This window comes from Homo sapiens, chromosome 8 (assembly GCF_000001405.40).
Source record: "Homo sapiens chromosome 8, GRCh38.p14 Primary Assembly".
In the NCBI taxonomy this organism is placed as follows: Eukaryota; Metazoa; Chordata; class Mammalia; order Primates; family Hominidae; genus Homo; species Homo sapiens.
In genome coordinates, this window is record NC_000008.11 from 26,767,680 (window position 1) to 26,781,376 (window position 13,697).

Below are 13,697 nucleotides of genomic sequence, written 5' to 3' on the forward strand. Positions count from 1 at the left end.
CCCGTATCTAAAATTTAATATGTCTGTAAAGGTGTTTAAAGGATCATCTCAAACATGGAACCATAATTTGTTGAAGAAAAACGATAATCATTCTTCCTGTTGGGACGCTCTTCCTGTAAGGGGGAGTGGGGCAAGTGATTTTCTTATTCAGATCCTGGACCAAGCTCTTGTCAACAATGAAACTGATCTTTCCTATCAAGGCCAAAGAGAAGCAAGGGTTTGCATATTCAAGTTCTTCATAGATGCCTGCCTCTATAATAGGACATTCACATCTGGCAGAGCTCTTATGGGACACAGAGAGAGAACAGAAGAGTCTAAAAATCCGGCCAACATCTCAGTGCCAGAATCCAAGTTCTGAACACAAGGCTGAATATGTATCTGGCCAGTAAGAAGACACTCTTCAGAAAAAGGCTGAAAAAACAGTCACACTCCAGGTCTAAATACAACCTATAACAAAACCCAAATCCACATGCAAACATACCCTCCATTGCAATGTGGAAAGAGATTTGGTTTTAAGAAGAATTTAAGGAAATTATCATTTTGCTGCAAGAGAAGAAGAAAAAGATGTTGAGGCCGCTACTCTTGCTGTGAAGGTTACAGCTGCTTTGAATTTGTTAGAGGAAATTACCCTAATAGAGGAAAGAGGCCAGGCAAATGGTCTTTAGTTTTAGACCACTGATTGTTGTCGAGAATTATTCCAAAAACTTAAATTCTATTTTAAATCCTTATTGTGAAAAGACAGCCATATTTTAATTTTTACTTATAGTTACCATCTTCATCCTTAGTAATCTATAGCTTGAGCAGCCCTAATCCGAAAATCTGAAATCCGAAATGCTCTAAGATCCGAGATTGTTTGAGCACCGACATGACGCCACAGGTGGGGAATTCCACACCTGACCTCATGTCTATGGGTTGCAGTCAAAAACAGTCAATTAAAAATATTGTATAAAATTACCCTCAGGCTATGCATATGAGGTGTATATGAAACATAAATGAATTTTGTGTTTAGACTTGGGTCCCATCCCAGAGATATTTGATTATGTATATGCAAGTATTTCAAAATTTGAAAAAATCTGTAATCTGAAACACTTCTGGTTCCAGGCATTTCAGAAAAGAGATACACAAGTTCTGTACTGAGTTATTATGGTTTACCAAAATTTGGTATACATAAAGCAAAATATAGCATGTTCCCCAAGCTCTTGCAGAAAAGTAGGAATAGATGAAGTTGAGTTGACTACTGGATCTTTTACCAGAACAAATGGCCTTCTATCAAAAAATGTTTGCAAACTCCTGCGTTAGACAGTTCTTTGGTGATCCATCAGTATTGTCTGAAGCTAAGCATTAGTATTTTTCAAAGTTCGGGAATAATGTACTTGGATCATAAGGCTCATTCCAACATGCCACAGGTGAAGCTCATTCATTATGCAATAGTGAAGCAGATAAGAAGTAATGGGAGACAATCTTTTGCCTTTCAAAATATTATAAGCTCTGGATTTTCATAACAGAGTTCTGGAACAGGTAAGTGATTTGTCAAGAAAGGCTTTTGTAAGCCATGTTGAAATGGCTGTGCAGTAAGTGAACAGCCTCTATCTTTGCAAGAAATTAACAGCCACACCAACCTCTTGCTCTTTAAAGATATTAGAGAGAAAGCCTATCATCATCTGATCTTGGAACTGTTTAATGGATTTTCTCTCTAGTAGTTAAATTGAAAGAATGATGCTCAGGTCTATTGTTTTCTCTTGGGAAAAGCCATACCACCCTGGTTGGTTCTTTCAACCCTCTCCTGACCCAAGGATAGAGAACACTACATTCCAAGACATCATGAGTGCCCCTCACTCTCATCTTTGGGAAATGAGGAGCAGCATCCATTCAAAGTGCAGTCAAAGGTAAACCTCACTGCCAAGTTTCCCTCAAGCTGAGAAATTGGATGTATCAGAAAGGGTGGAGTTTCAGGACTTGCTCTAAAAATAATGTGTCTGGATCTCGGCCACCATCTTAATGCTCTTCCTCTCTAGGCCCTCTCCCCATAAATGTCAAATGTGGCTGTCAGTAGGTTGAGCCTGAAAATAAAATCCCCTCACTTCCATCAAGAAATAGCTCCAAACTTAGAGTGTGTGCTCAAAATATTCATGATGAAATCATAATCCTATATTTATAGTCTTTTGGATTGTGCATGAAATTCTGTTTCCCATGGTGGTTTTCGTTGAAGTGGGCACAGAGTGACCAAGAAAGCATTAGCTGCAGGGAAATGCTGTTCCGTATCATTCTGAACTGGTTGGTTGTGAGACACCCTCCCTCTTCCCTGTGCCCTACCCGCTGCCTGATGAGTTGGGTCTACCACCCACCCCATTCCCAGCAGGTCCCCTCTTTGATTGGTCCTGTCTTGTCCTCCAAGAAGAGCTGGCCTTCCGAGAAGGAAGTGGGGTGGGTACCTAAGATTATTCCCCTTTCCTCTGCATCTTTCCTGTCCTAGACTTCCTCCCCGTTCTCACTGAGGGAGATGGTGTGGACCTTAATGGTTGGAACTTGATGGTTCTTGTCAAGGCTGGGGGTTGAGGGCCCTACACAGCAGCAGACCTGCAAAAAGCTTTTACTTCTCACCCGGGCTGTGGTACAGGAGGATTGGTCTTTGGACACTGTAATCCTGGCAGATCCACGGGGCATGGAAGAGAAAAATTTCCATTCACAAACGCCATCCGTCTTGGAGATCCTGTAGAAGGTCTCTCTTGATCCCACGGGGATGCGCACCATGTCCTTGTGTTGCCCTTCCACGGCCTGGCTGGGCGGGTGCAGGGTGTAGCCCAGGGCATGTTTGGAAGACTGCTTTCTGCAGAGACACTGGATTCTCAAGACATTCTGAAAGGCCTTTTTGAACTCTTGGCTGGAGCATGGGTATATGATGGGGTTGATGCAGCTGTTTAGATATCCGAGCCAAAATACTATTTTAAAAACTGTTTCAGAGGGCTTGAAATCAGGGAAGAAAGACCCTGGAAGAAAACACACAGATTTATACATATTATTTGAAAGCCAGCAAGCCAATTGGCTAGGAAAACAATCAAACAGACATCTTTCTGTATTTTTAAACGGTTAAAATGATCCCAAACACATATGAGTTTCTCACATTTGACTGACTAGCTCCTATGACTGTCACCCTTTTGCAATATCTTCAAAGACCATTCCTACTTGGTCCGCGTGTGTCATTAATTACAGGAGCAGGCCCAGTGGGTAGGGTTGCACTGGCTCTCAGTGACCAACAGCTGCTGTGAAGTTTTACCAAATGAAAATGTGAAACTCAGACTGAGTCCACATATGTAAATTGTTTTGCCTAAATTGAAAAGTAAGTTGGAATCCATGCAAGTAATCCATATTAAAATTCGGTTATCTGAACATGCCCTTTATTCTCTGATGCAGTGTTATGCAACAGACACAGCCTCAGTGTTTATGAATTCCTCCCCTCCCAAATGTTAGAATTATGGATTTTGATGAGAATCTCAACTTTACACAATATTGGCCTTGCCAAAGTTGGGCCAGTGATTCTCAATCACTTTTCCTAGATGATGTCTTTTGATGTCACCGTTAGCTCCCTTTGTCAATATCCCTCGATGTCTCCCAAATGTGTGTCTTTGCTTCACATTCGGAGTCCTCCACAGCCTCTGGTCTAACCAGCTTTCTAATATGACTAGTTGCTATTTTTTCTCTAGCCAGACTCACTACACTTTTTCTCCAGGTCATTGATCATTTTTTTTGTCCTCTCAAGTTGGGCCACTGTGTCCTTGATGCCCTTTTCCACCTTCTCTACCTACCCAAACCCTACCCGTTGATGTGCACGGCAGGAACCAGGCCTCAGGACCCGTCACATCCTGCGCAGAGACTGCCACAGGGCATTTCGCAGCAGAAGAACAAAACTGTGAAGTCTTAAAATGGAACAACCTTAAGGATTATCTCCTCCAATTACTCAATTTACAAATTTAAAAAATGCTTATTTAGCCTTTTCCCAGCTGCCGCCAAGATGCTCTGCCCTTCTGAGCTGAGGCTGCGTTGGGGTCAGGCCCTCACTGCATCCAGCACTAGCACTACTCCGGGCAGCCCAGCCTTGCACTTGTCCACACCACGGACTCCATCTCAGAGCTCGCCTGCACTGACTCAGCCCTCATTCTGTATAACGCTGAGGGGATCATCACATAGGATAAGGTCAATGTCGTTTCTAAAGCAGCTGGGGTAAATGATGACGGCTTTTGGCCTGGCTTGTCTGCCAAGGCCCTGGCCATCGTCAACTTCGGGAGCCTCCTCTGCAGTGGAGGGGCGGGGTGGGAAGACCTGCTCAGCAGCTGGTGGTGTACCTGCGGGAGGTCCTGCCCTTCTGTCACTGTGGCCTAGGCCGAGAAGAAGAAGGTGGAAGCAAAGAAAGAAGAATCTGGAGTCTGATGATAATATGGGCTTTTTTTTTTTTTTTTTGAGTAAACCTATTTTATAACACGTTCAATAAAAAGCTGAACTCTTAAAAATGCTTATTAAAGAGATTGTCACAAACCTCATAGCTACAATACTGATAAGAGTGATGGATAAAGGGTATGGGACTCCCAATCCAATGTTCTTTATTCTCTGATTCTCAGACTTCCAAGGGCTTTTGCTAAAGGAGCTTTATGAATTATGAAATCCCAAACGTCCCTCTTCACTCCTTTCAGAGAAATTGCAAAATAACATCTTGACTTTCCTTCCACCTCCTTTCTTTTCTTTCTTGGCTCCCAAGCTCCTTTTCCTTCTCCGCGGGCTTTTAGTCACAGCTTCGTGTACAGTTGGTAGAATGGCTTTGGGAAACTCCTATGATGCCTTTGGGCCTCCAGTTTTCTTATCTGAAAAAGGAGTATGTTGAATGGATGATTCCTAATGGCCCTGAACAATTTTTTTGTTGCTGTTGTTTCAAACCTAAGGTCTTGATTTTATGTCTTTCTTTTCCTCTCTGCTCTGTGGACCTATCAGAGCCGTGACAAATTGCTGGTGCTATTAAAATCCACTCTGGCAAACAGTGCTCTGAAATTAAGTCAAAAAGCTCATCAATATAAACAAAGAGTAAACTTAAATACTGAAGAACCCAAAGAAGACACAATAGTGTGGTTGTTGATGGGAGCATTTATTACCTCTGAAGCACACTCCCTGCTAAGTTCCATGTGTCTCAAATTCACACACACACACACACACACACAATGGGTGTTTATTTGGAAAACATGTAAAGTGAGAAAGTTTTATTCTTTAGCTCTAAAGCTTTTCATGTTGTCCTATAATTATAATAAAGTTTACAGTCTTTGAATGCCTGATTTGAAACAGGCAAGGCACTGTGCTGAACACTTTCCATATGATTTAATCATCGTTAGTAACATGAAGAGTTATGTGACTCTTCCCTATTTTACAAATGAAGAAACTGTGGCTTAATGAGTTTGAGTAGCTCAACCGAGGTCACTCACATAGTTACTGGTAGGTTTGAAATTAGGCAGTGTGATTGATTTCAGGGCCCATGCTCCTTTGTGGAATCTCCAAATATACTGCAATAATACATCTCTTAGGAGGATAGCTGATGGGGAGTGATAAAGTGTGCAGCTGGGGGAAGCTGAATTGGAAAAATGCTTTTTCGAACCTCATCTGTGATGGAAAAAATGGCTAATGCCAACATGACTGATGGTTTTGTGCAAATGCGGTCAGTTCCAGAAAAAAATTTGTCTTACATTATGAAACCTATATATTGTCCAATATTTCCTACTAATAGTGACAGTGATGTGATTAAGGAAACCCATTTCACAAAGACCTGCCTGGGCCTGTGCTTAATGACTACAAGAATGTCTGAGCTGAGCACACTGAAACCCACCTTGTCTGGGAATGTCACTACTCTGTAAATCAGCGAGGGAGGGGAGGGTCGTTTCCTTATTTGAAGAATTTCAATTTTTAAAAAAGAAAAAAAAATATGCACTATGAATGTGAATGCTAATAAATATGGTTTGAGAGTCTTGGAATTTCCCATAATTCCTTCAATTACACTCATTCTGCTTACAGAACCCAGTTTTGCACTCGTAAATCTCAACATTTCCTTTTAGTCACTTCCTTCCCATCCCTTCTTTCCTTGCGTGGCCCTGCTCTTAATTCCAGGTATGGCTGACCCAGAGCCAAGCTCTTGGGCCCTCTCTCTAGTCTCTTGCTGTGTTCCAGTCTTCACAGGTGAATCCTGGCCTCCCCCTCTCTGTACCCCACTCAAAACACTCATTTCTTCAACATGGCTCAGGTATAGGTATAGGGTGAGAAAGAGAGTTGATTAAAACTAATTTACACTAAGATCTGAATGTCAGATAATCTCTAGGCCTAACCCCAGGAATATTTTCTTTTTAATCCAAGCAAATCTCTAGATTTTGGCTTATGCTTCCAGACCAGAGACCTTCCTGTAAATGACAATGTTTGGTTTATCCTATTAAGTGTGTGACAGCAGCCAGATGTGTGTAAGCCTAGCACGGATTTGCATGCTCCCAAACTGATAGTTCCACCAGGGGCAGGTTGCAGGATCCATTCTCATGCTTGGAGTATTCTTCCCTTGTGATGGGGAACAGGTGCTGGGAGCCATGTGATTTTCTTTGAGCAGCTGCTGACTGGCTGGGGTTAGATGAGAGACTCATAGCTATGCTTCCTTCAAGAACTTTCCAAAGAGTGAGAAAAGACAGCAAAAGGGCTAGGCATGGTGGCTCACGCCTGTAATCACTGCACTTTGGGAGGCCAAGGTGGGCAGATCACTTGACACCAGGAGTTTGAGACCAGCCTGGGCAACATGGTGAAACCCCATCTTTACTAAAAATACAAAAATTAGCTGGGTGTGGTGGCATGTGCCTGTAGTTCCAGTTACTCAGGAGGCTGAGGTAGGAGGATTGCTTGAGCCCGGGAGGTAGAAGTTGTAGTGAGCTAATGCGCACCACTGCAGTCCAGCATGGGCAACGGGAGTGAACCCCTGTCTAAAAAAAAAAAAAAAGGACAGCAAAAGAACTGCTCCTCTCCTTATTGACATTATTCCCATCCACGTATTTCTTCCTTTATTTTTCCTCTCCTAGAAAGGAGAGATGGGGCTGGAATTGGGCTTGGAAAGCAGCTGCATGGCCCCAAACCCTCCTCCTGCTCTCTCTTTCTCTGCCCAAACCTTCCCCGTCTGGTTCTATTTTCTCTGAACTCTGCATTAGTTCTATCCTCAGCCTCCATTCTTCCCAAATCTCTTTCTTCCTGAGGACTGGCTATGTTTTTAGGGTGGGAAGACAGCTGGAGAATGCTTGTTCCTGGCCTCCAGCCATCAGGACCTAGAGGGTCAGGGCTGAACCAGCCTGGTTCAGGGGTGGGTGCCTCTGACCCAGTCACTCTGTGGGGAAGTCCATTCGAGCAGCCATCCGGCCGGCTTTGCTCACTCACGGAGCTCCAGAATCCAGTAAAATGCTAGAGTCTTGAAGGCATTCTCCTAGTTTTTGCTGCATGAATGGCCGACCTTCTGACAGACGGATGGACTGACTGACTGAATGAATGAATGGCTGTGTCTCTGTGTTCTTGCCATGGTTCTTCTTCACAGTGTGGCTTGGTTTTCTTTTCTGCGTGATGGCTGTAGCCTCATATTATCTCCCAACCCTGACTTCTTTCTGCTGTCTCATTCTTCTTTTTTTTGCCCACCATTTCAGTTCAGTCATTTGGTTTTTTTGTAATGTTATTTTACTACCATTTTTTCCTTGCTCTATCATCTGGCATCAGACCCTCTAGTTTTTCTCATGATGCTTCATAGGAAGAGCCAGACTTCCAAATCACCCACATGAGAATAGGGGCTCCTACTTCTTTGGTCACCGTAGCTATGGTTTTCTCCTCAACAATCTCTGCTTCAAGAAGAGCCAACAGCTCCTGACTTAATCCCCTGAACACCTTGCCCTGCAGCTCAAGCCATCCTTTGCATGTGAATTTGCCTGGTTTAATTCTTGGGCTTTGGAAAATCCCCACAGCCTAAGGATTCTTCCTGTCACTGAGTTTCTTTCCACCATTTGGTCTGCTGCAGAATTTCTGCCTCTTTCCTGACCCTCTGGACACCCTGACCAACTTACGCCGGTCAGACTGAGGTGGATAGAACAGGAGTTTATGGCCAAACACCATCAACATTCTCATTCATGGAGATTCAGAATCCTCACTTCCACTGTAAAGGCCTCTAGATGCCAAGAAGAAATTGAAACGAATAATTTAAAATGTTGCCTCTATGTCTTTCCACTGAATGCTATATCCATTGGGAAAATCTGACTTCATTTTTGAACTGGGGCTCATCTAATAGGCTTATGAGGGGGCACTAGGAGGCATCCCAGTAAAGGCTTGGCGACTAGAGTCACCTTTTACAGTTATAAAATTACAGCAACATTTGCCTCAATGGCTCCAATACAAGATAAAACCATTTTTTCCTGCCCATGCTGGTCTCCTCCATGAATTTGATACACCGGTGAGTGCTATGGTTAGCTTCAAAAGTTGGTGAGAGTAGGAACTGAGTTCTCGAATTCCTATCCAGCACTGGTCATTAGGGGGTTCCTCCTTAGTTCAACTGTTTCTCTCAGAATGAGGGTGACTTGATATGGAAGCTGAAAGCTGTGAGTCAGTCTTCTTGGTTCCAGCCTCCAGCTTCTGCGCTTCATTTTACCCCCTGGAAAACTTGACATCTTAATGACAACCTTGAGAGACACTGGGCTATGGTAAACCCTACTTAGCTGGAGTTGCATAAGGCTAAAATGTGAAGACTGGCAGGCACTTAGAGATCAGAGCTGTCAACCTGTCCTTTATATGTGAAGACAGCAAGGCTGAAGACGCGAGTAGTTCCCCCAAATCACACAGCTGGACCCAAACTCGGCTCCACCTCACCCATTTCCACTCCTGATCTTTGTGTGCCGTTTAGCAACCCTACGATGACATGGAAGTGTTAATGGCAGTATGTCCAGCTTTCACTGAATGACAACAGGTTTTGCAGAGATAAGGAGAAAGAAGAGAGGGGAGTAGTATCCTCAATAATTGCATTATTTTAAAAGTCAGAGTGTGCTGTTCAGAAGGGTTTGTCAGCAGGGCCTTACATTCTGAGAAATGAAGTTTGAATGATCTCAATTTAAAAAAATGTGGACTCCAAAGAAGAAGCTAATGTTACATGACCATGGGAGAAAATAATCTTTAATTGTTTCTCCTTGTTCAGCGAGTGGTCTCTCCGATGTGCCTGGTACACATCCAATGAGCAGAGGAGAGAGACAGGCTGCCACACCAACAGGCCAAGGAGCTCCAGTGCCAGTAACATTCAGGCCAGACCCAATGGCTCCTTCTTACCAGGAAGAAAACTGCCCCATCAAATTAAACCCCAGAGACAAGCTATAGAGTCAAAGTTTAAGAGCAGACCAGAGTCTACCAGATGCCTTTGTGCTGAACTACTTTGGCCTGAACCCTCCTGGGGTTTATGTGGGGCCACTTGGGCAGCTCTCAGTCAGCAAGAAGTTTTTAGATTATCTACCTTAGATGGTGACCAGGGCTCTCTAAGAAGGTGGTCAGAATAACCATGGACAGTAACCTTAGGCTTGCAACCTCAGGTTCACAGACAGACTTCCCATGACTGACATGAAATGTGTATGTCCAGAGATACATTTTCCTGGGAAGAGTCCTTAGCTTGTATTAGCTTCTCGCAGTGCTCTCTGGTGATGGTAAAGATGGTTCAGCCTGGATCCCAGGTAGAGAGGACAAGCTGTACCCTGGCTGGGGAACCTCACTTAGCCTGTATGTCCTAATGATAGAATCTAGCTTACCAACAGAGCAAGCAGATGTGATTTCGGTGCCTCTTTGGAAGGACTTCGCTAGTCTTTTTTTCCCCTATTTAACTGGGGCCTGAAATTGTACAGCTCTCCATTCATGTATCTGAGTAAAGTCATGTGTATGCTCACTTGAGAGTGTTGGCATGTGGAGTCTTTTCTGAACTTTCTGGCAGAAAACTTGAGTGGTTGGTAAAGTGAGGAAGGTGGCACTGAGCAGGAATGGAATTAGCTCTCCTCTTGCATGGGGCAAAGCATGGGAGCATGGCATGGGAGGGTACAGTGAGTAAGGGGAACCGGGCACACTGTGCTGGGCACACATCCCCGAAGGAGACAGGCTCAGGGCACCCTGGGGGCCTGCCCAGTGTGGGATGGAAGTGCTGCCCACTTTTCCAGGGACTGAGGCACGTTGGTCTATGGTTACTGTGAAAAACCATTGCTCCTTCCAATCCAGGCAAGGAAAGAGGTCACTTGGGGAGATGTCCTCTCATCCCTCAAACTTCTGCAAGTGGCAGCTAAAGTTCTCTTGACAGGATCTGTCTGGCTGGCCAAGGAGAGCTCTGAGGAATCAGGAATTTCATCCTGGATGAGTCTGAGCTGCTGGAATTAAAACTTGTCAAATGGTTCGTCTCACCAGTTAACAAAGCCTAAGAAGCATTTCTCCTTTTAGGAAAAAGGAGCAGGTCCACCCAAATGCATGATTTGGACCCCAACGCCCATAAGAACGCTGGAAAGAGTAATAGGGGACCCCACATGTAGACATTTCTCCCTAGAAGACCTCCTTGTGTCCAATAAATAATTTGATTTGAAACACTCTCAGAAGATAGCAAGATTCTCTACCCCACTCCCTTTATTTAAAAGATTATTTGTTCAGGAAAAAGCTAGCAATAAGGAAGTCATCATGTGCTTTTATGGGCTGCTTCCTTAAAAGCAGATCTCCTTTCATAAGCCAGTGTATTTTCCAAGCCTTGTCAATTTTACTAAGGTCACCATTGTTTCATGAGTCTTCCATTTAAAACATTTTTATAATATAATAACCAAACCAAATGTCCAACAATGATAGACTGGATTGAGAAAATGTGGCACATATACACTGTGGAATACTATGCAGCCATAAAAAAGGATGAGTTCATGTCCTTTGTAGGGACATGGATGAAGCTGGAAACCATCATTCTCAGCAAACTATCGCAAGGACAAAAAACCAAACACCGCATGTTCTCACTCATAAGTGGGAATTGAACAATGACTATACTTGGACACAGGAAGGGGAACATCACACACTGGGGCCTGTTGTGGGGTGGGGGGAGGGGGGAAGGATAGCATTAGGAGATATACCTAATGTAAATGACGAGTTAATGGGTGCAGCACACCAACATGGCACATGTATACATATGTAACAAACCTGCATGTTCTGCACATGTACCCTAGAACTTAAAGTATAATAAAAAAAATATATATATATATAAATTTTTTTAATTGTCTCTGCACAAAATCTCTCCCTGAGACCACCCAGTCTAAAGAAGAGTAATCTTCAAACTCACACCTGCTGAATGGCTTATTTATTTCACGGTACATATCACAGTTTTTAAGTTTTCTTATTTACTTGTTTTCTTTGATTGTCTCATCCTCCAGAGCACAGATGATATGCTTTCCAATGGTAGGAGACCAGGTTATCTCTCTCACTGTAGTGCAAGATGGGAGCAGGAACCCAATTAACAGTTCCTGCCAGAAGAATATGTATCTAGTTCCTTCTCCCTTTTTTTTGCCTCTTACATTCCAACTGGTCACCAAACCCCACAGGTGTCTTTCCTTGAAACACCTTCCAAATTTTCCTTCTCCATCACCTCCAACCCCAGCACTGCTGCATGGTGAACTGGTTGTTTAAAGCTGGGTGAGTCATTTTTTCCTTCTTGGGCCTCAGTTTCCTCATCTGTAAAAGTAAAGACTTAGAACAGTAATTGATGCTACCCCTTCCTATCTGTAAGAGCAGATGCTTCTAGGCAAATGGAAACAGTCAAAAGGGGAAAACAGCCCATGACAAGCAGGATGATGAAGGAACGTGGTGGAGAGATGGCCAGAAGGGAAGAGGGCAGGCTTTGGAAGGAAGAGGGGAAACTGAGGTTTTGGGGAAGGCTTTGGGAGGACACCCTCATGTCTATCCTAGAGGTTTACTTTGAGATCACGGAAAGGAGGGGTGGGAGGAGAATTCAAAGGCTGCTGTCATGCAGTGCGTCTGCATAGGGGCCCAGGCAATTCTGATTGCATGAAGCGGGAATGGAATTAGCTCTATTCCTGCTTGGAGCACAGCACGGTTTGGGCTGCTGGTCGCGTCAGAACTTGTGAGCTTCTTAATAATACACGGGCCACACACCTCCACATCTGAGGCCTGGGAGGCTAAGGCTGTGCTCATCTGGTCCTTTCCAAGGAGATAGGATGGAAAGGGAAGAAACCATGGGGGAAAATTCCCAGAAATAACTAAAGGGAGGGGAGGCTTATCAAGGGGCTCAGTATTGTAGCTAAGGGAACCTCATAATGGGGTATCTGCCAAGACATGTGTTATGCATTATCTTTTTGTTGCTGATAAGATCAAGTCCAAGCTCCTCACTCTGTCATTCAAGGCCCCTTTATTATTTGGTTCCACCAGCCCTACACAACCTTCTTCATTCCTCATTCACTTAACACATAATTTACTTAGCACCTGCTCAGGCCAGGCACTTCCATAGATACTGGAGGTAGAATGGTCAGGAACATGCAAAGGTGTTTACCTTCTATGAGTGTCTCCAACAAATGCCTATGTTGGAGGCATTTGTTGTTCCAACAAAGGAATTATGAGTTTCCAACACCAAGGCTTTCTTCCTGCCGCAGTAGACTTTTCACTCTAACTTTGTTAGTTCACGAGGTGACTGTGACCTCAGCTCCTGTGGCTGTTTTCTGCTGCACTCTTCTGCTCTTCACTCAGTGACCTCTCTCCCCTGTATCTACTCAAACTTGAATTTGTCCAATTCTCTCTGTCTTCAAGGCTGTTTTCAAAATCCCACTCATCCACGAGCCCTTCTTTGTTACAGTATAGCTTGCTTTCTTGCCATTTCCCCTGTGGATTTAGCACCAGTTTCTTTTCTTTATAGCAGGGAAACCCCTGGGCCACAGACCAGTACCAGTCTGTGGCCTGTTAGAAACCAGGCTGTATGGCAGGAGGTGTGTGGTGGGCCAGTGAAGCTTCATCTGTATTTAAAATTTACAGCCTCTCTCCATTGCTCACATTACCTGTCAGATCAGCAGTGGCATTAGATTCCAATAGGAGCACCAACCCTATCGTGAACTGCACATGTCAGGGATCTGGGTTCTGTGCTCCTTATGAGAATCTAATGCCTGATGATCTGTTGCTGTCTCCATCACCCCCAGATGGGACTGCCTAGTTGCAGGAAAACAAGCTCAGGGCTCCCACTGATTCTACATTATGGTGAGTTGTATAATTATTTCATTATATATTACAATGTAATAAGAATAGAAATAAAGTGCACAATAAATGCAATGCGCTTGAATCATCCTGAAACCATCCTCCCATCTCCAGGCCCATGAAAAATTTGTCTGCCATGAAACCAGTCCCTTGTGCCAAAAAGATTGGGGAACACTGCTCTATAGCCCTTATCACCATTTTCTGTGCTTTACTTATTTCTATTTTTGGTTGCTTTTCTTGACTATAAACTCCCTTGAAGGAAGAGCTTCCTGTCTTTTTAATTTACTGCTGTATCCTCAACACTCATAATGGTGTACAGCATTTAGTAGGCTCCCAACAATATTGCTGAATGAATGACACATTCAATCCTCCTGGTTTTAGTCTCCTTAAAGATACACCCTCCTTCTTATCCTTCATTC

General features: G+C 43.8%; 1 protein-coding gene and 1 pseudogene across 11 annotated transcripts in view; one reads left to right on the top strand and one right to left on the bottom strand.

Moving 5' to 3' along the window:
• Positions 1-13,697, bottom strand: part of ADRA1A (adrenoceptor alpha 1A) — a 119,230-nt gene that overhangs the window by 19,530 nt on the left and 86,003 nt on the right. For 6 of the 11 annotated variants that reach the window (XM_017013094.2, XM_017013095.2, NM_033303.4 and 3 more), the window contains one exon: positions 2,602-2,987. The exons of 3 other annotated variants lie outside the window; for them this stretch is intronic. In XM_017013094.2, coding sequence (XP_016868583.1) covers positions 2,602-2,987 — 386 coding nt within the window. Of the gene's footprint in view, positions 1-1,129; positions 2,988-11,373; positions 11,752-13,697 lie in introns of those variants that run through there. 2 more of the 11 variants (NM_000680.4, NM_001322504.1) reach the window with 2 other exon arrangements.
• Positions 4,117-4,450, top strand: RPLP1P9 (ribosomal protein lateral stalk subunit P1 pseudogene 9; annotated as a pseudogene).